The 22,289-nt window shown below is 33.4% G+C and overlaps 1 protein-coding gene across 4 annotated transcripts in view, besides 2 other annotated features; it reads right to left on the bottom strand.

Annotated features, from left to right (window-relative positions):
• NEGR1 (neuronal growth regulator 1) overlaps nucleotides 1-22,289 on the bottom strand; it is an 886,597-nt gene that overhangs the window by 600,786 nt on the left and 263,522 nt on the right. The gene's annotated exons all lie outside the window — the stretch shown is intronic.
• Nucleotides 3,688-4,887: an enhancer, noted in NCBI's record as "MED14-independent group 3 enhancer chr1:72466099-72467298 (GRCh37/hg19 assembly coordinates)". NCBI's record gives its function as "activates an origin of replication core promoter dependent on BRD2, BRD4, P300/CBP and CDK7 cofactors, and independent of MED14, by STARR-seq in HCT116 cells {active_cell/tissue: HCT116}" and the evidence as "EXISTENCE:reporter gene assay evidence [ECO:0000049][PMID:35650434]".
• Nucleotides 4,122-4,623: an enhancer, noted in NCBI's record as "H3K27ac hESC enhancer chr1:72466533-72467034 (GRCh37/hg19 assembly coordinates)". NCBI's record gives its function as "activates a minimal SCP1, AML or CMV promoter by ChIP-STARR-seq in primed H9 embryonic stem cells {active_cell/tissue: H9 hESC(primed)}" and the evidence as "EXISTENCE:reporter gene assay evidence [ECO:0000049][PMID:30033119]".

Below are 22,289 nucleotides of genomic sequence, written 5' to 3' on the forward strand. Positions count from 1 at the left end.
GGATCAGAAGACATAACCATAAATAAAATGATCTTTGCTTTCGAGAACTTTCTTTGTCGTACACACCTTTCACTTTTTACCTCTGACCTTTACATTCTGAGTAAGGTGCTTTCTAAAGTTACCAATGATCTCTCAATTGACCTTTTCCCAATGTCTGTTTTCCCTGATTCTCTTTGAAACATACTCCTCCTTTTGGTTCTATATGGCCCGAAATTTCCTCCAGTTTGCTCCCTCCACCTCCCTACTATAATTCACTAAGAGAGCTATGCTCTACTTCTCCTTTTTTCAATCTGTTTCTAGATAATATAATTGCACAGTATTAATGTCACCTCTATTTGATGTGTTCCCAACTAAATATCAAGGCTTTGTTTCTATTCTCAGCTTCAGTTGTATGTATCAAGCTACCTGTTGAATAACCTGCCATTATTCAAAATTCAACATGACTAAAATCGAAGTTCTCATTTTACCCATAAATTTCTCCAATTCTAGTTAGGTCTCTATAAGTCAATTCTTAAGATACTATTCCAGGCTTTCCATGATTTCACTTCCAATTTACTTTCCCAAGTTTAAATTCCACTACTATCTCCTCATTATTCTTCCTAAATTGTAGACACAACAGACTACTTGTTGTAGTCCAAAGTGTAAACATATCATAGCACCAATTATACTGCAATGCCCTTTCCCCAAAACGTCCAAGTACAAATGTTATTTTTCACTTAAACGCAAATGTCCAATCCCCATGAAGCATCATCTAATACACCTAAAATATTGTTTTCATTTTTCAAATAATGCTTACAACTTTCTACCCTATAGTCTAGCTCTTTGGTGTTTTAGTCCAATATTCAACTCTCCTGTGAACTTCCTGGCGACAGAAACAACACTATTTTTTGTGTCTCCCTGAGAATCTATTATAGTACCTTGTATAACTAAGACTCCAATAAATATTTATTGGATGTTTTCTTTCTGAAAAAATAATCTGACATCCAAATTCATATTTTAATAACCTGTTTATGTCTCTGTTACATCTTCTTTCCATTTGCATAAGTTACTTATTTCTTCATCTAATTGCTAATATTCAATGAGCTAAGCCAGCTTTCCAGCTATAAAATTACATTTAGTCTAAATAATCTCCAGCATTTTTGCCAGTCATAAATTTCCAAAATGTACATGAGGTTTGACACCATACTACCTTCTACCTATAGTCATACCAGGTAAAATTAACATTTTTAGGCTTTGCATTAACAGTCATTAACACTAATAGATTTATCCTTTGTAAAAATTAACAATTTTGAAACAACTTCTTAATTTTCCCTGACTAAGAAGAAAATTCCCAGGAGTTGTAATTGTGGTTGGTAAGGCTAAGAGGCTCTACGTAAAGGATAAACACTAGGATTTTTAAGTCAACAACCTGATTTTGCAATTTACATAAATTCCCTAAATTTCTGTGAACCCAACTGTTAAATGAGGCTAATCATAATACTTATCTCAAAGGTTTTGTGAAGATTAAACCAAATAATGCATGTAAAGTGATTTTTGTGATTCCTGGCATATAGCTCAATAATTAATGTGTATTTTATTAATTAATTGTGTTCCTCCCTATATTTCAGGCAGGAGGCTTTTTCAATAAAAACAATTCTATTATATACTTGTATCCTGTATATACTGCTCACAAAATAAATTCCACAATCGCTGGCATAGACTTCAAGACCTTTCATAACAGAAGTCTAATTTTTCATTCCAGCTTCATAATGCTATTGTTTATCTCACACACAGTACACTAAGGCCAAATAAAAGATACCTCATGCACCTTTAAGCCTCATGTTTTTCCTTCTTATAATGTGTTCCTGACTCCCACCTACCTTCTCTTGCTACACAGATTCTTACTCATATCACAAAGCACTGCTTAAAGGAAGTCATAACCTCCACATTTTCATTCACTACATTCATACACACTTGCATTTACATTTTATATAGAGATATAAATATATTCATATATATTAATTCTTTTATACATAAGTATATAGTAAATAGTGTAATCTCAACTATATATTGGATGTATTATATAATATTTACATACAATGTTGATATATAAAATGAATATTATTTATCTACATATACACATACTTGGGATATGATATATAGTTACATATACTATAGATACTGTATATAATACACACACACTTGGGATTATAAATTTAGGTACATAACATTCTCTTCTAAGATCTGTGAGACATCTATCTTAGCACGTCATCTGGCACATATTAAACGATCAATATAGTTTTCTTAAATGTGTGAATACATGATTGAATGAATTGGCTTCTACTCCATCATCTATGAAACACACAAATGCCAGGCTTTACTATGGTTTTAGGTTTGCCTCACTGACAGATGTCAATTTCTGAAATGTACTTTCTGAGTCTCAATTATTTTGACATCACAAAATTATAGGGCTGAAAAGGAATATAAGAATGCCCACTCCAGGCTTCAATGAGGCCATCATTACTTGGAAAAATATCTTCTATTTTAAAAGAGTTCAACTTTGAATAGGATTTCATAACCTGCCTTGTTGACTCAACCCTTTCATGTTTAATAATGTCCACTATTAGTTCCCACAGACAGTCTTGAGATTATTTTTCAAGGTAATTGAAACATTACCTTTCCCCACCCATTTTTTTCCTGTCTGGGAAGATGACAAATACCAGAAGTTTTAAGAAAGTTAAATATATCAGAATAAGCAAGCACTATGACAGATGGATCTATGCATCAGAACTGAAGTTCTTCATCTATTTACAAGCATCTATTTTCACTTAGGTTTGTTAATTCTGTCTTCTGAAAATTTTTAAGATACTGTACATTCCTTCTCACTCCCAAAATTCTTATGTATTTGCATCTTGAGCAAAGCAAATATATATATATATATATATATATATATATATATATATATATATATACATACATATTTTTGTCCGGTCTCGGAGCCTTGACTTTACATGGAGTCTCTTGTAGTCACTAAACATACATACATTTTACTTTGTTTACATACTATCAATGATGCTACTGAGATTTTAAGGCATTGCACTTAAAACCCAGCCTTAGGTTTAGTACTTTATTTACTTTGTCACAGAACATTTTGCTTCTATTTTCCTTCGTTTTAATTGGACTGTTTTCTCTGAAGACTTAGAATATAATAGTATATCCATATTTGAGCCATGCATATCCATATTACAATAGTAATACCCATATTTGAGCCTCTATTTTGTGTATGTCATTGTACTGTGAACTAAATGTGCATTATGTTGTTCGGTTCCCAGAATAACACTACGAAAGGTATGCTAAAACCAAGGCTCAAATTAGACTTCAAATCCTATACTTTTAAATCTCCAACTTATTCTGAAAACTGGCATATCATAGTGATGAATATTTCAGAAAAGTCATCATGAATGATGGTTTTTTCTATAAGCTTCCTTTAATTTTTCTTAAATTTGAACTTTGGACAAAGGTAGTTATGGGTATAATTAGAATGAATATTATTAATCTAGCATTTATTGACTGATAAGCACATTACACATATGATCACATTTAATACTGTTTCCACACAGTAGTAAATTTCCAATTCCACACAAAATGTGTTAATACACATTTAATATCTGTAAAATACTCATTTTACAAATGAGGAAATAGAGTTGAGGCAAAATATAAAAAAAAATGTAGTGCAGTTTAAGCATTAATAACTTCAAAAATATAAATGCTATACTCTTTACCAAAAATACAATTTGAAAAGTGAATTATTTACATTTTTAATAATATATTTAGCTTTGTGAATTTAAAACACATTTTTCTATTTTTAGTCAATATTTGTTATATCAGAGGAAATGAATACATTCACTTTCATCACGTCATGTTTGTAAATGCAGTTTATTAATTCTTTTTCTACACTCTTAGGTTACAAAGTTCTTCCATTTAAATTGTTTCTAACAGTGAACCAATTGGCAATTTATCAAACCATCTCAAAGTGAGAGTGTTTTGCAGCATCTATTGTTTATTTTACGCTATCACTGTCATTTATTTTATATTCTCAGGATCTAGATAGTCAAAATGAAAGAGGAAAGAAAAAACCTGACAGGCAGGTAGTTCGGGTGGGTCCTTGGATGAGTTCTTTCAAACAAAAGGACAGCCTGAAGGCACAGATAAGGGAACTTGCAAAGGAGAGCTTGCCTGAGACATGCCCACAGCCCCATAGATAAGAAAGGCTATCCAGGAGACTTGCTCAGACATGTCCACAATGGAAAACTCCATCCCCCGACACATGTGTAGTAAAGGGAACAAAGCAATATGGAGTAACTCAAGCTAAGGGCCTGCATGTGCACTAGGAGGACAGGGTACAGTTACCAGAAATTCGTGATTTATGCAAATGAGATGCCCAGACCTCATCGGCTTCTTATAAAAGCTTCTGTATTCAACTGTGAAATGGCAACCATTTTTTCAGGACCCCTCTCTGCAGCAGAGAGCTTTCTCTCTTTCTTTCCCTTATTAAACTTCTGCTCTAACATCACACTTGGTGTGTCCATGTCCTTGATTTCCTCAGCCATGAGAGAAAGAACTTCAGGTAGCACTTAGACAAGCAGGCCATTTCAAAAATATTAATCACCTTGAGGCTTACTTGAAATGTAGAATATCAGGCTTTATTCTAGACCCATTGAATCAGATCTGCATTTTAATAAACTCCCCAAATTTCATATGGACATTAACATTCACTCTTTAGGGTCAAATTTGACCTATAATCATAAGATCCTGGCATGTGAATATTTTGTCCTTGCTACAAAGAAACAAAATGCTAAATATTAAAATAGAAGCATTAACAATGGGCACTAAGAAAGGCAGAAGAAAACAAAATAAATGATAGATGGGCAACTAGATACCAGTTAAGTTCTTTGAAATTAAGGAGGGCATTACGAACATCACATGCAATCTTATAGATAGTATAATAGCTAGAGTAACCTAACCTAGTGATAAGTTAGAACTTCAAGGGGTTTGAAGAAAATGGAAAAGTGATTGCCAATACAATGTGCTAAAAATGTATCTTCCTAGAGGCTACCCTAAAATAAGTACATGTATACTCTTGATTCACTTAAGAGTGTCATATCAAGAAAACTATCCTCTTGTACTACATAGACCATAGACATGTATTTTTTCCTGTCTCCCTGCAAAAAATCAACCTGAAAACTCATTATAAAGTTTTCTCAGTGGTTGACATGAATTTGCAGTTTTCTTAAATCAAATTTTTGCTTTTGAAATTTTGGGTTTTAATAAAATTCTAGTCATCTGCTGTTCTTTTTGCTACTACTTCTCAGAGTTTAATATCCGTGTTTTTGTCTGTTTGTTTTTTGATTATATGTGAAAATTCTTAAACGGCTTTGGAAGAACATTAATTTGGGCCTGGACTTAAACTCATTTCCTTCCTGCCTTTACATTGTGTTATAATGCAATAAGGGGAGAAAATAAGTTGAGAATCTGGTAATAAAGTTGTTTTTATTAATTATTATCATCTTAATGAATGTTTCATAGGTGTGAGAAATTTGTTATAAAATAAAAAAAATTCACAATAAATAATTTTAAAGTATAGCAAGGTGCCTTTTCTAATTAATTTTTCATTCTCGCATTGAATTTCCAATAGTCCCTAGACTAAAGCACAATTCAACAGTGTTTTCTAAGAAAGTAGTATGATAACTCTAATATCAACTAAGCAGGAACAGTTCCATCCACAATTATGATAGAATCTATAGCCTATGTCCAGTGAAGTGATAGATATAACCATTAGAGAACAGTAAAAGAGAATTATAATTGTTTGGTAGAATTTTATTATAAAGCCTATAGAGAAAATGTTCAACAGGAGTTTAAAGAATTAGGTGGTAGAGTGTTAAAATAACAAAACCATATAACATGAGGAAACTATATTAAAAATTTACTATTCGTATTACTAATCAATAATGTCACATCAATTGTTTACTCTTAAATGTAAATCAATACTAACTTTCAAAAATGCAATTCATTAATTATTCTTTACAAATTGCACCAAGGAATTTACCACATATCTCTCATGGATTCCTTAAATCAATGCAAAGGACACATCGAATGTAAAATGTTGCATGTTTCTATGCTGACTAAAAATAATTGCCGCTAATGGGTTACAATTTAGATAGCATATGAATAAACACATTTGGGGAGGTTATTAACATTTGGGGACTGTTATTAACATGTAAAGTGACTCCAACATAGCACTTAAAACTAGGAGATATTCAGATGGGCACTTTCAAGGTTAGCAAATTAAAACCAAAAAACAGTGATTTAAAGAAAAGATGGAAGGAAATTCAATTCTGTGTTCAGATATTCACTTCCTTAGTAACTTTCTCTGATTCAGGAATAACCTAAAGTATGTGTCCCAGTGCTTGAGGTTTCCTTTAAGCCTTGATGCTTTTAAGCCCTATCTGAGTGTTGGGTCGGAGGTTAGGCTTGACAATCTAGAGGCCGTTCTGCTCTGGTGGTACAATATTGACTTTTACGGCTTTGTAAATATCAACATTTTTGTACCTAAGCTCAAGCTGAAGCAGCACAGCACACTGCAGCCTGCCAACAAACATGCAATGCCACTCTAAAGGGATTTTGGCAGGATTTAATTAAAAAGTTAAATAAGCAAGGAGAAAATATTGGTGGAAAAGGAAAACACAAGACATAGGTGCAGGATGGCATAGCAAGTAAAATTAAAGACATTAACAAAATAAAAAGCTAAGATTTGGATACTTTTAGGTAGAAAGAAAATGGAGAACTTAGAAAAAAAAGCTCTAAATGGAGGAATCTAGGAAGTTATCAGAAGATAGGATTAAATTTTGTTTTTAGACCATATTAACTAAACTTGTTTATCCTAATAGACTTTCCTTATCATGTTGAGCTTATGTAAATAAGCATGGCATAAAAACGATATAAAATCTTACATAGAAAAAGCACTTTGATAGGAATTGCACTACAGTCTTTTCCCCAGAGCCAATGCAATGTACAGAAAACCTGATATTACAATGAACGGAACTAAAATGTTTTACTCTAATTCAGAAACATTATAAATAATTTATTTATTTTTGTGATAGCATTGTACTGTTAACCCAGTACCACAGATTGATAGTTCATTTGCATGAGCCATTTTCTATGGAGAAAAGGAAAGATTAATGGATAGACAATAAATGAGAGATTAATGAGTAGAAAAATAAAGATATATATATTTTCTCACATTTATTTTATTTTGTGAGATCAGTATGCCTCATTAGTTGAGGAGAAAAGAAGTGTGGAGAGAATGGGGGCAATTGAACTTCCCATAATCAACAACTGCCTTAAGCCACTATTCTTTCTTTTTCTCTTCCCTTTGTCCAATTATATATTTATTTTCATAATATAATTAAAAGGCTGATATATATATATACACACACACATGCGTACATATATATATATTTGTTAAACATACATGCATAGGTATTTATATATAGAGAGAAACAGTAACGTGTTTCTTCTCTGGAAAGCAATAAATAAAATAATTTTGTTTGTTTTGTTTTGAGAGAGTTTCCCTGTCTTGTCCAGGCTGGAGTGCAGTGGCACGATCTCTGCTCATTGCAACCCCTGCCTCCCGGGTTCAAACTTCAGCCTCCTGAGTATCTGGGATTTCAGGCATGCGCCACCACTCGCAGCAAATTTTTGTAATTTTAGTACACCATGTTTGTCAGGCTGGTCTCAGACTCCTGGCCTCAAGTGATCTGCCCACCTCGGCCTCCCAAAGTTCAGGGATTATAGGCATGAACAACTGTACCTGGCCTAGAATATCAAACTTTTAACAGCAAAGTCTACATAATAAAATTATGCATTACATTTTTATGTAGACAGTGGTCACAGTCACACACATATATACCATAACATCCTTGGTATGGCAAAATAAAAATAAAATAAAATAACTATTATCTTCGTTTTTAACATTTAGAAAAATCACAAAACAATGCTTTGACTTAGAATATGATATTTAGGGAACCACTGCATAATACATTTCAATATCCTGGAGATTCAGGCTTCATTAGCCTGAAAACTCACAATGTTTGAAAAGTAAGAAGCAAAACAAAGGCAAAAGAATTGAAATCTTACAATTCAATTTAAAGTTATCTATTGAGCACCTCCAAATAGATTTTATGGTAGTCATGTTACACATCACTATATTAATCTCCTTCTACTTTATGGGTGATTAGGTATAACTTCATGCCATTCAGCTGACTTCCTATTGTACTTGCTTTGACAGTTTGCATTTTTGTTAGAGCCTGGTTAAGCACTAGCCTGGCATTTTGAAATTAAGGGCATAGAAACATGCATAAGTGAAGATTGAAAGTTGAAAATAACATATTTGGCACCTAAGCTCTGTTTATTATGTTTATTTTTGGCTATGATATTTCTACTATTATACACTGAGAACTAAGCGGGGATAGGGTGGGGGAGGCAAAATAAGAGCATAGTGAATGCAAAATACCCCAATCTACCATCAAGCCCAAATAAAAAATAGTTTAACGCCACGCTATATATAAACAAACTCAAGAAGTCAATCACTAAGATGTATGTATGAATCTCAGCCACACTTACAAACCCTAAAGATTACATACTCATTATTAGAAATGACTTCCATCTATATATTCTTTCTCTTGACAAATTATAATTTTTAAAGAATACGGTAAAATAACAAAGCTTTTAATAATTATTTTGAAATTAAGCATTCATGTTCTATAATTATACATATCCAGATTTGTATTTATTTGACATTTGTAAAAGAGTATTTCTAAAATTTTGGTCCAAATAGCTTTTGCGCATTTTAGCTGAGTTAGCTCTCCAAATCTTGGCAATAATAAATGCATGTTTGTTTATTCATAAATCAAGTTTCCATATTTCTTTTATTTAAATAGTAAGATCACCTGTAAAATTTTCCTAGTGTCTACAATATTTCAAAATATCTAGCATAAGACAATCATGTACAGATTCAGGAAAGAATATTTAGAAAAAGAAAATCAATTTTGGAAATCAACTACAGTATAAAACCACCTATATTTTCATTCTATTAATCTTTTAATTATCCTCACATATTAATAATGTATACAATAATGTTAAATATACTTTTCATCTGGCCAACCTTTTCTAATACAATTTTACTCATTTTTATATAATATGTATCTTTTTCACCAAAAAGTAACAAAGGCTTGAATTCCTACGAAAAGGAGAATTCATGATGGGCTACCAGATTTGCCATTGTTATGTCTGTCATTTAATCATGGCATTTATTTAATTTAAAACCTCTTTCAGTGTAACCCACATATATTTGAAATAAAATATGCAAATAAATTCAGTCTCTGGAGAAGGGTAAATTCAACTGTGAAGCAGAATAGATTTCTATTTTCCTAATGCACTTTGGCACTTCTGTGTGTCCACTTACATTAGCCTATGAAAGTATTTCCAGCTCTGTCAGCCCCCAAGAATGTGTTAAAATGACATGGTAAATTTGGAGTTCTGAGAGTAAATAAGCCTAGGATAGAAAAGGCCTTCTGGACCACGTAGGTATAGCAGAAACATTCCATGCATTTTAAATGGCTATAATCATAATTCTCCACCACAAAATGTAATATATGTTCTATCAGAAGAATTATTTTCCTCTATAAGTGTCAGTGCCACCAAACCAACTGTCCTGCTCACATTTTCTCATGGTCAATACACAGCATAATGCTGCTTAGGATATTCGGAAAGGAAAAGAGGTGCCACACTACAGATCCATTATGCATTTTGACATTAAGCACCCAGTAATTAGCCAAGTACCTAACTGAATTATGTGATGAGGGAGAATATTACAATTACATTAAAATAAAAGTGTTTCCAAAAAGTTCCGCTAAAAATAAGAATACCAGCAAACTAAATAATGTGAAGGTAAATCTCTACTGCTAATGTATTCTCATGACTTACTGCAGGAAAAACTGGGGGGGGCGGGAAGCATCTTGCAAAGACAAGGTTAGACTGCCCTTAACAAGTCCCTTTGACCCAGAGCTGAATATTCTCTGCAGCACCCTTACCTTTCTCACAGAGCACAGTGGGAATAAGTACATTGTTAACCACATTTTGATGAGGGTGTAAAGTGAGAGATCACGGTCAAAATTAATAGTGCATTTTTTTGGTTGTTTTTGTATGTTTTAATGAGGTTATATTTCTTTACACATCTCTTTCCTGTTAATAAGGTCTAATACCATTCCTTCCAAAAGTCAAACTTTTTCATCTAAAATAAATAATCACTTCCTTTCATAAAAAAGTGGAGTACATATTAACACTGCAGCAATTTGTTTTTTCAAAAAAAGGAGGTGTCATTTAAATACCTGGGTTCTTCCCAGAAGCAAACATGCTAAGCATTCACTTGCACTAGTAAATGTCCTTGGCCATATTAATAAGCTTGACCATTTCATTTTTAATTTTCTTCTATCTTTCTCCTAGTTTGAAGTTCTTTTTTGAAATTAACATCCAAGAGGAAATTTAGGCTTAAATTCTTTTAAAACTTTCTTCTCTTTTTAAGCACAAGTTCTGAAAAATACATATATGAAAGAATTAAAAAAAAAAAAAAGGAAGACATTTTCTCCTTTCTTTTTTAACCTGACCAATTTTCTGGGTCAAGCTCAGTGTGAGCTCACTTGGTTGGCAGCAGGGGAAGCCAGGGTGCCCCTGAAGAAGGTCATTTCTGACTTTTCTCCGCCACTGCTATGCCACATTACTCACTGTCTTATGGCCACTAGTTAAAAAACACATGTAAGCAATCAAGTACTGGAAAGAGTACGAAGAAAAGAGAAAGCCAGAATTAAAAATAAATCCTAAATTTAAAAGTGAACTAGTTAAAAAAAATCATTTACTATAATTTCTTCTGCTCAAATACTACAGAAGTATGAAGTTGTTAGCCTAGAGTAAACCCAATTTAATTTTTCACAATTTACTCTAAAGATATAGGCCATTTTCTGTCATTTGCAAATAATTTCAGTTCTTTATTCATTAAGTACATTAATACAATACTTTGCCTAAGGCCTACATCTTTTTATTTTCTTTGCTCCTCAAAGAAAATATGTCAAGTTAGCCATTTTATGGCTGGGTAATAATGAGGCATATGAAAAAGGAGCGGCTAAGTTTTAACTATGAAGAAGTATTAGAAGACATATAATAAAATATGAATTTTAAAAAGTTATCCTGTGTGTCTAAATATTACATTTTTTGTTTGAATAAGTGTTTGGAGATTTTTTTTTCTCCCTGCAATTTTACTTAACAAGAACAAATATCACTTTTGGAAATATGAGGATATGATGATGCGGATATACGTGTTCATTGGTGTTTTTAATGGGTGTCAATTATTACTATGCACATTTTAGAGAATAGGAAATTGAGTATAGCAGTCATCATGTGACCAAGGTCACATAGTTAATAAGTAGATTAATCAAAGAAGGTTAGAATTTTCCTTCTAGCAGCTCTAATCCAGACATCTAACTCCCATGGTGCTGCTCTTTCCATCATTAAAAAGAAAGGTTTTTCTATCTAATAAAATGTACTTATTTTTCTCTTGTGACCTACTAGTACACATCATTACATTTTTCTGACTCTACATTCTAAGTGTGCTACACATAATTTAAGGATACATGACAAGTTGTTTACATGAAGCTCAAATTTTTCATCTGCAAACAGCAATAGAAACAATACCTATCTATTGGGCTGCTTTAAGAATTAAATGAGATAGTCTATGTAAAGAGCTTGCTACAGGGCCTGACACACTTAATTGTTCATACATTTTAAATATTATAATTCTGAACTTCTATAAACACCTGTGATTGTAAACTCACTGAAAGTTTAGCCTTGGCCTATGTAATTACATTGGTACAACACCTTGAATAGTCCCATGATTAATGCAGTGTTTAGTGTAACTTGTCCTAACAGGTGACTGATGATAATAAAAAAAGATAAGTCAAAATATAAGGGCATTATGTCACTTTTAGACCACTTTCATTAGAATGACCCATAGCATGTTAATTGCATACTCCTAGATTACACCACTGATATTTTTGAAAACTCCTTCAGAAATTACTTTAGTGGGAAGAGTGAAGTCAAAAAGCTTCCATTAAAATCTGGTTCTAGTCCATACCAGTTAATTTACCATTAAACTTCCCTAACCACCACCTCTCATCAGTCAAAAAAAAAAAAGAAAGAAAAGAAAGAAAGAAGGGGGAGTGATCATATCTCATATTACACATTATGATCTAATATGTTATGGCTACTAATATGTAATGGTGCATATTACCATTACAGAATGGTAATATGGATGAAATAATATATTTGTCAAAATATTTTATATGATATCATCATGTAGTAGATGATGAACAAATTTAATATTTTGTTGCTAAATTCTTCTCTTTAGCTTCCATAACAGAAATAATCAGAGCTCAAACGTGTGGTTCCTTTATTGTCAACTATAGCAAGTAGGATTCACCAAGCCATCCCTTTTCCCTCCACGCTTCAGGGACAGTTCCTCTTCTAAGTTATCCCTGTCTTTGTGAGGGTTAACATATGGAAACTTACGCAATATTCTAATTTTGATTTCATTTAAATCCAAAATTAGCACAGTTTCCCCCAACTTGTGTTTTTCTTCTTTTTTAAATCATTCTACTTTTAAATGCAGAGGGTTTTTTTTATATTTATAAAAAGTACGATCTTAAGATAAAAAAAAATACTCTTTGGACAAAGCAGTCTTCAAAGACCCTACCTACTATCATCTAGAAATGTACAAGGAACATCCTAAGGATTAGGGCAGGACATATGTGACAGTTTACGTGTAACCTAAAGGATTATCCATTCAGGATTTACAGTTTTGTCTCTTGGCATCTCTCCATAGGCAACTGTTTTGTGTCTAGCTGGGTATTATACACTGATCTATTCAATAACAGGAGCCACGTGTTATTCATATCTTTGGCCCCAACATCTGGCAGCATTGGCATATTATGGATATTTATGTTCTTAGAGAATGAATGAAATCCAATGTAGATATTTGTAACTGTGGGGAAATAGCTAAATACAGGGGTCAGACATAGCCATTCTACTGCTAGTTAAATCTGGGAGGTAGAAAAAAAAAATGTAGCTATTCAAAAGCAGAGACTGGAATGTGCAATAAAAATAATCCCAGCTGTCAAAAACATACATGGAAGAAATGACAGGAAGAGGAACCACTGGCAAAAAGGAGATTTAAAAATAATTTGACTGAAAACTAAGTCCCCTCTGCCACTGTCCAGCCAGCTTGTCAGTTTAATTTGCTATTGGAGAAAAGGAAGGGACAAGAGTCAAAACAGGTGTTTGGTTTTCTTTTTTTCTGTTTTTAATGGGGCGGGGCGGGGGAATCAAGTGAAAGCATGGCTTTACCAGCTGTGAAGAGCTGCTGACACCTGTGGTTGCCACATCTCATGACTGTGAGATAGGTCAGAGGCAGCTCGAGACAGCTGATAAAATGAGGTGAGGTAGGGGAAGAAACCAGAGGAAAAGTAGTGCTGGATAAAAACAGAAAGGAAAGAGAGAACAAATGGTGCCCATAAAATGTCCAATTTCAAAATGTCTATTTTTATCTTTATTTTTCTAATTAGTACAAAGTCATACTCTCTCTTTTTCCTCCTTCTGTTCACTAAAGAAAATGTGACAAAAATGGATAAAAATGAAATCTCTGCCTTATGTGCAGTATACAACTCTTCATACCTGCCAGTCTCAACTAAAGCATTGCAATATTCTCTCCTGGGTATTTATATTCCTCTCCCTCCCCCCAACCCCTTTCTCCACTCTCCCACCCCCTCCAGGACTGTAGAAAGAAAAAAAAATATTCCTGAATGCAGAATTGTGTGCTACTCAAGGGAAACTTGACTTTGGCTACAAATCTGAGGGGGCACATTGTATAAGCGTAGGAAGATGTGAGCATTTGTTTGCTGGTAGAAGCCTGGAATATGACTGGGTGGATGGAAGTGACTTCTTTAAGCACAAGACGTCATCATTCCCATAGTTAGATATTTAAAGATAATTACAATACACAGGACAATTCATGACAACACGTGACCTAGCCTTCACTGTTATCTTCAACCTGAGATCCCTTGTTATAAAGAGGTTCTATAAATAGAATTTTAGTGCAATTAACAATGGGAAATTGAAAGGTGATGCCATAAGAATAACTGACTCAGATTAAGGAATAAAGTAACAAGAGAAAAATTTAGTACATATTAAAAACTAAATATTCCTTTCAAGTTCTTGTTTTTTTCTCAATTATCTAATATAGTACCCTCTGCATGATTTTGGTCATGTCAATGAAGATCAATTTGAGCACTGTGGGGGCTGATGAACATTCTGAGACTCTACCCAGAAAGAGGGCTTAGGGAGAACATAAGAATTCAAAGGATATTAGTGGGCTCAGCATGTCTAAGAAGTTCATTACCAGCAAGTGCCTGAATAAGATGCAGTTGGTATTAGAATAATTCAGAAAATCAGTGGGTGAGCTAATATCTTGGGGAAAGGGAAGGTTAGGATTTGAAAGGACAATCTCTCAATGTTATATAATAGCATTCACATAGAAATACTGATGTACAGATCAAACACTCTTAGATATTACAAGGGAAACTTGGAGGGTTCAAAGATTTTTAAGGTTAAACCACCTAATGGAAATATTTCCAACATTTAGTGAGGTCAGTCACAAGTAATCGCCATAGATCAAGCAAGATACCAAAGGGATGCCAGGAATTAATGAGCCACAATATTTGCCCTCAAAAAGCTGACATTTTTGGGAACAAAAAGGCACTCAAACAGATTATTAGAATGCAGCATGTTCACTTCAAGTAACAGAAGTAATAGTGTGAAAAGGAAACATCGGTGAATGACACTAAGTTCAGCTTCTGATTCAGTGGTTAAAGAAGGCTTCTAGAACAGGTGATGTCTAAGCATAATCTTAAACAATGAGTCGGAGTAGCTGCCTAGAAGAACACTACACAAAGGCACAAAGGCAAACGAATAAAATAGCCTAAAGTGTGCAGGGATCTATCAAATCCTAAGTGATGACAGAGCATTAAGTGATGAAGTACATGGAAGCTTTGAAGGTGGAGATGGAGAGTGGGCGTTTGCAAGGCTGTGAAGAGTCTTACGTTTTGTTAAAGAGCCAGGAGTTACACCGAAGACAAAGGGAAGTTAGCTTTGTATGGATTCCTCTGGTACAATGTGGAAGGCGTATTTTCCAAAACTGTGGACAGGTAGAACAATTATAATAAGTATATGAAATTATTGATATATTATATTAGTATGTTAGAATAAATATAACACAAGGTGAAGACAGTATTTGAGATTCCAAGGCTTAAATTTCAAGTTTATACACAATATCTAATGATCTTTGTCAACAGTCTGCTTTTATAATGACTATATTAGTGTCAAAGCACGCCCCAGACCAACAGACAAAATGGACTCCCCCATGGCTAACTAAAGGGCTCAAGGTTAAAGCAAAACCAGGCAGCCATAGCTGGGTGAGGCAGGGTTAACACACTCTGTGTTCTCAGAAAGATATTATAAAAGTGTCACAGGACCTCCCTTGCTACGGTCGAGCCAAATCAGTTTCTGTTATTGGTGCCAAAGTGAATTGTGGCTGGATCTTCCCTATCCCCACTACCAGCCATTTGAAAGAAACATCTGACGGAGACTTTGGTTTGGGGCTTGGACATCATCCAATCAAGTCCTGACTATTTTGAGCAATGAGAACAGAAAAAGTTTGAATTTTTTATATGCATAAATGGACCTGGTTAAGAACCTGGGCAAGAACTTCCCCTGTTTAAGCCAGACCCTCTTTTTTTTCTTCAAAGAGCACACGTTCACTTGTACTAAAGACTGTGCGTCCCCAATCTGCATATATTTTTTCCAGAAAATAAAGTTCTCCTTTTGCCTCCACAGATCTCATTGATATTTTGTTAACATTAGTAATGTGTGTGTGTATATATATATATACACACACACACACATATATACATACATATATATATATATACACACACACATATATATATATTTTTTTTTTTGTAGAGCAAGATACTAGTTGTAGGGGCTAGAAAAAACTTTCCCTTTAGCTTCTGAAGGTTTGCTGAAAAACCAACTGGAAAAAAAAACAGATTAATAGGAGATATGGCATATAACATTTATTTTAATATGAATAGCATGATGGAATAACAGGAGAATGATTATTTAATGTATAGAAGCTTATAAACCCTTCAGGGGAGGGAGGAGATGGGGAATATAGACAATTCTTTTTAGGGGTAATAAATTATAATAAGGGAGCATGAATGGACCCCAGAGACAAAAATTAACTTGTAAATAATTCTCTTTGGAATTTGAATGAGCCCCAGAGGCAGCATTATTTTGTGGGAAAAAATCCATCCAGATGTGGTTACATTCCTCACTCTTCTGTTCTGTGATAGATAATGACATTTCAGGGAGGGAAAACAATGACATTTGTGTTCTTCCTTGCATGTCTGCTTTCTAGGTAGATAAGGGAACCTCGGAGAACAGTCTCATCCAGTGCTCTGGGAGAGACCAAGGGTTCTGGGAGAGATCAGAGAGAACTTGAGGCTGCTTCTAACTTCAAACATATTAGGGGGTAAAATATTCTGGTTTTCTTCATAGCCATCTTGCCACTTTTCAGTTTGTATAATTCTTTTATTACAAACATACACACAATTAAAATCTAAATATAATTATGACAGTAAATAAGCATAAGCACTATAATTTGTAATATAAATCAACTGTAAATAAATAAACCTCTATTATTAACAAATAATTACTAATATTGGAAAGTATTAATTGAATATTATGCTCTGATGCTTATGAGCACTTCTAGAATGGAAATACCAATTTTGATGTAGTTAAAAAACTTTATTCTGGTTAGCTAGCTGACTGTCATGTTCGTGAACAAAGTTTTTCAAACATTCGCTACCCTGACATTTGACATTTAGTACTTAATTAAAAAAAAAAAAGTTGAAAACCTAAGCAATATGAATTTTGCATGCAGTATGATTAATAGGTAGGTGTTTACCTAAGAAATCATTTAAGAAAGTGTGTGGGAAGAATACAAGTCCCAAGAGATGCTCTGTGAAAAATAAAAAAAAAAAAAAAAAAAAAAAAAGGAGGTTGGGGGAGAACTAGTTAATTAATCTAGAAATTGTAGAATTTCAAAAGATTCATAATGCATATTAGCATTTAAAAAGCTCTGGGGAAGGTTAAAGAAAAAAAAAGCTGTTCAACTTTTTTTGTATGCAGATTTCCAAAATTCTTTATCATATAAGTTCTCACGTTTTAAAGTTATACTTATTAACATTATTAGCTAGTGTTGTTTATTGAGTGCTTATTCTTTGCCTAGGATATTGCAGTACAAACATTATCTTGATTAATAATCTTATTATTTAGAAATTATCATACTCTTCTCATTTGAGAAATTCTCAGCTTACATAAGGAACTGCCTGAAGTCACATAAGTGGTAAGTGATATTGAATCTAGGACTGTTGAATTCAACAGCTGTATTTTTAGACATTAAGTGATAACATGTACAAGGAATTTCTGTTTTTAACTCACTTGAAAAATGCTTTCTTAGATACTTAATGTAAAATTTCCCAGTCATTTTATTATTATTTTTACTACTAATTTCACTTTACAATTCAGGTTTTTGAATGGTTTGCTAAGTTATATTAGTCAACCAATATTCATGTACATAGCATAACATGTAAAAGTTATTTAAATATGCACAAAACCTTTAAAAATGAATTTCCATAAAATAACAATATTATATTCATATACCAAGATTTTGTTAAATAACACATTCAAATAATTATTTCCAGCCTAGAAAGGCAATATTAACATATATTATCATTAAACCAATGTGGACATTGAGTTTTTAAAGGTGGTTCTTCATTTAACTAATATCTCCTCATTAAACCAGAAATACCTACTATTTATTTATCCACAAACAAAGATGGTCTTCAATGTAACAATAATTATCAAATCTTAGTTGAGGATAAATATGACAATTAAGAGGTCCCTGAAATATGCCACAAGAAAGTATTCTTTCATAAAGTAATGCACCAAGGTTCAGGCATTTGGTTGTCATTGAAATTGTATTACAGAGTTTTTTCTAAGGATCAATTATTTTGGGTAACTCAAGTAAATAAGACTGTGTTCAATATAATACTACAGCTAACACCTTATTTCTTCCAATTATTACTGATATTCAGAAAAAAATCTTTTGACAGTCACACTAATGAGTTAAACTAGAAAATACAATTTTTAAAAATATGTAATTTAATATGTTAAGAAAAAGTGTCCCTGAATTTGTCATATAAGCATATTTCTTAGAAGAAACATACTGAATGAAAGGCCTTATTGCTGGTGTGATGTTTTTATAAGCATAAATGAAATTGGTTATTCAGCTTTGTCTTTTTAAAAAAGTTTAAAGTATTAGCGTGGCACTTCTTCTAAAAAAAAAACAGATGTATACAATTTTGTGGTCACAAAAATGCATCTTTCATTGTTCTTTAGGCCTGAGTATCCATAACTATGCTATTCAACTAAAATTATTGTGGAGACTAACAGTGAATCTTTAAGTTATGTACAACTTTCCTCTTTAGGTTTTTACCGTAAATAAAATGACCATTATTATTCTTCAAGGCCAGGCACCATGGCTAAGACCTATAATCCCAGCACTTTGGGAGGCCAAGGCAGGAGGATTGCTTCAGCCCAGGAAGTTGAGGCTGTACTGAGCTGTGTTTTCACTACTGAACTCCAGCATGGGTAGCAAAGTGAGACCGTGTCTCAAAATAAATAAATAAAAATAAATAAATACATAAATTAGGTATTTTGCTAGTTGTTGGGAAAAGCTGAGGCAGGGCTTGCATGTCTGCCATAATGTAAAAGAGTCTTGGAACATGTTCTGGGTCCAGGGTCTAAAACCCCTCATGGCCTGGTTTTGGGTCTGGCCACCCCAACACTAGTAGCTCTTAAGTCCATGACCAAAATAATCTCAAAGTATATCAGAATAAAAACAGGCCACTAAAGATACCTAATCAGTCCTAAACATGAACGCAAATCTAGGCTAACATTTTGTCTGATCCAAAGAGAAATGAGAAGAGCAAAAATAGTGTAGTGACTTCTATTTTAAGTTAATTTTTTCAATATAAGAAATTATCCTTCATTCTGAGATCATGTCAGTCTCACATTTTTGCATTTAAACACCCTTTTTAACTTAATTTTTTTTTGTTGTTCAGTCACTGATAGGTTTGAATCCCAATTTAGAGAAGCAATAACCTAAACTGACCAAAGGAGAACAGGAGATTAAATACAAAATAATTGATGAAATGTGTTAAAAAAATATAAGTGTAAGAGGAACCTGACATTTTTATACCTATCATCCTTTACAAGGAATTTCTAATGTAATCATTAAAAAAGCCACATAAGATACAGAGTGTGTCCCTATTTCACAGACAGAGAAGCTAAGGATTAGTGACGTTAACTCTTTTAAGGTGGTACAATTGTGAGTGGGAGAACCAGGTTTCAAACTGAGGCATGTGTGCCTTTGGAATCCACACTCTAGCTCCTACACTCATCTGCCTCACAACATTAAAAGGACCAGACAACCACCCAAGAGTCATAAAGATGGGAAATAGACTGGAAAGTTTTTAAAGTTTCTGGAATTTCCCCTAAACTTGCATGATTAAGGTAACCAGGCCAAACTGAAGGTGTTTGACCCTTAAATGCTGAGATCTTGCTTTCACGTATGGGAAAAACACAAACTTGGAAGACTAAAAGATGCACAGCAACTTATGAAAACCTACATTCCAAAAACTGAGGTGTTTAGGTTCACTCTAAAAACCCCTGCACTGCTCTTATCTCAGAGGGAAGTTACAGGGTTTACCAGACGTAATGAGCAGTCACTACTTGCCCCAGACAGTTTGGCCTTTCTAGAGATTTCAGTGTCGAATCCAGTTAATTACAATTTCTGGATCATTTTGTATTATACCTGAATTATAAACAGAGTTATTCATCTGAATTTATTTAGCTTCTTTGGCAACCTTTGAGCATGATTTTATACATTTGAATTTATTGCATTTGGTTTTAGATATTTATAAGAATGACTATAACCCTTCACAGTCATTTTAATTTTTACTGTATAATTTGATAAAATATATGTATTGGAGTGAATGTGGTAGGTAATGTAATGTGCATACATATACAAATAATATACAAATAATACACACATATATATACACATATATGTGTGTGTGTGTGTGTGTGTGTGTGTGTGTAAACCAAAGGGAGCTTAAAGGAATATATAACATGAGTAGATAAGTAACTAGAATAAAGGCAGACTGTGTCAGTTGACAAAAAACAAGATGAATGTTACAGAATGTCAAAAGAGGGAGAAATTTTGGCAGTTTAAGAGTAGGCGCTAGATTCAATATCATATGCTTCTTTGCAGTAGGTGTCTTATATTACTTTTGACATATTTGACATTATTTCTTTACAAAATTAGGCCTCTATTATAAAGTAAACTTCTTAAGAGCAAAGAACAAGTATTCTAACCTTAGAACTTGGCAAAATACCTGGTAATTTATTGCACCCGCAGATATTTGTTGAGTGAATGGATAAAAAAATAAAAAATTGAGTGTTTGTACAAAACTCAAATGAACCTTTAAATGATCAAACATGATTGCCCAGGATATCCCAGAGCTATCAGTCCAACTGGCATTATACTGCAGAATCAGAGCTTTTCTTAAGACAGATGTAGTTGGTCTTTCTTGTAAATCTGTTACAATCCAATTATTTTTTTTTTTCAGAAAACTGGTTTTCTTTTAATTAGTCACAGTTTAAGAAAAAAAAAACTTTCTGAAACTACTTTGGAAAGTTGTTTTATACATCAGCACAAAAATAACAGTTTCAGTTAAACTGAATTAAAGGAGAAGGATTCTTTAAAAATAATTTTAAGATTGGTCTCAATAAGTTTAAGTGGCTATTCTTGAAGATGATATACCATACATACAAAATTATTTAAAGAACTTACATTTTCTAATTTCCAAAATTATACTCATCTAGAGAAATTTACCACCAGGATTATTAGAATATAAGCTCCATGAGGGCAGATATTTATATATTTATTTCAATCTTGATTTCCAAGAGTCTAGGATTTTATCTGGCTCATTGAAGGCACTGAAAAAATATTTTTTAAATGAGTGAACAGGTTGATGAATGAATTAGAGGTATAGGGATTACAGAATTACATACGGTCAATATCGATGGTTCATATTTGTTTATATATTCTACAAGAGAAAGACTAAGGAATTTTAAAAATTATGAATGAATATTTATTGAAAGACTACTATGAGCCAGATATTTTCCTAAGGACTAGAAATACAGCAGTGAGCAAAATAAATAATGCCCTTGCCTTTAATAAACTCATAGCCTATTGAGTGGAGAAAGAAACAAAGCAAACATTGCTTTTCAGGTATTTTTAACTTGGACTAAAGATCTTTTAAGAACTACCAGTGCCTAGGATTCCCCTATCCCTACTGTACCTAGAGATTCTTACTGAATTTGTCGAAAAATATATACAAAAACAGGGTCTTGGAACATAAATATTATGTACGTTTTATGACATCTCAGGTGATTCTAATGTGTATAATTTTTAATAACTTCTCAGGTAATTCTGCCGGGACACCAGGGTAAAAAACATCCAAACTGAACAAACAGACATAAAATTATGAAATATAATGTCATGTAATAAGTGCCACAAAGCAAAATGAAGCAAGCCTAGGGAAAAGAAACTGGCAGCGGCTGAAAGAAAGAAGTGCATATTCTAGGGGCAAGCATTCCAGCAGCAGCCACAAGGCCAGTATGGCTGCAGTGAGCTCAGGGCAGGAGGGGAGGAGAAGGAGGACTTTTTTCAGTTGCACAGTCAGGGGCCACTGCAAGGATTCTGTGCTTTCATTGCAGTGTGATAGGAGGACATTGGGGAAATGTTGGCATAGGGCAACATGATCTAGCACCGGTTTCAAATACATCCCTCAGGCTGCTCTTCAGAGAATATGCTATGGAAGAGCAGGAGTGAAAGCAGCAAGACCTACCAAGAAATGTGGAGGAACATGAGGGCTTTGGGGGGATGGTCACAT

The sequence above is a fragment of the Homo sapiens genome, chromosome 1 (genome assembly GCF_000001405.40).
Source record: "Homo sapiens chromosome 1, GRCh38.p14 Primary Assembly".
Taxonomy (NCBI): domain Eukaryota; kingdom Metazoa; phylum Chordata; class Mammalia; order Primates; family Hominidae; genus Homo; species Homo sapiens.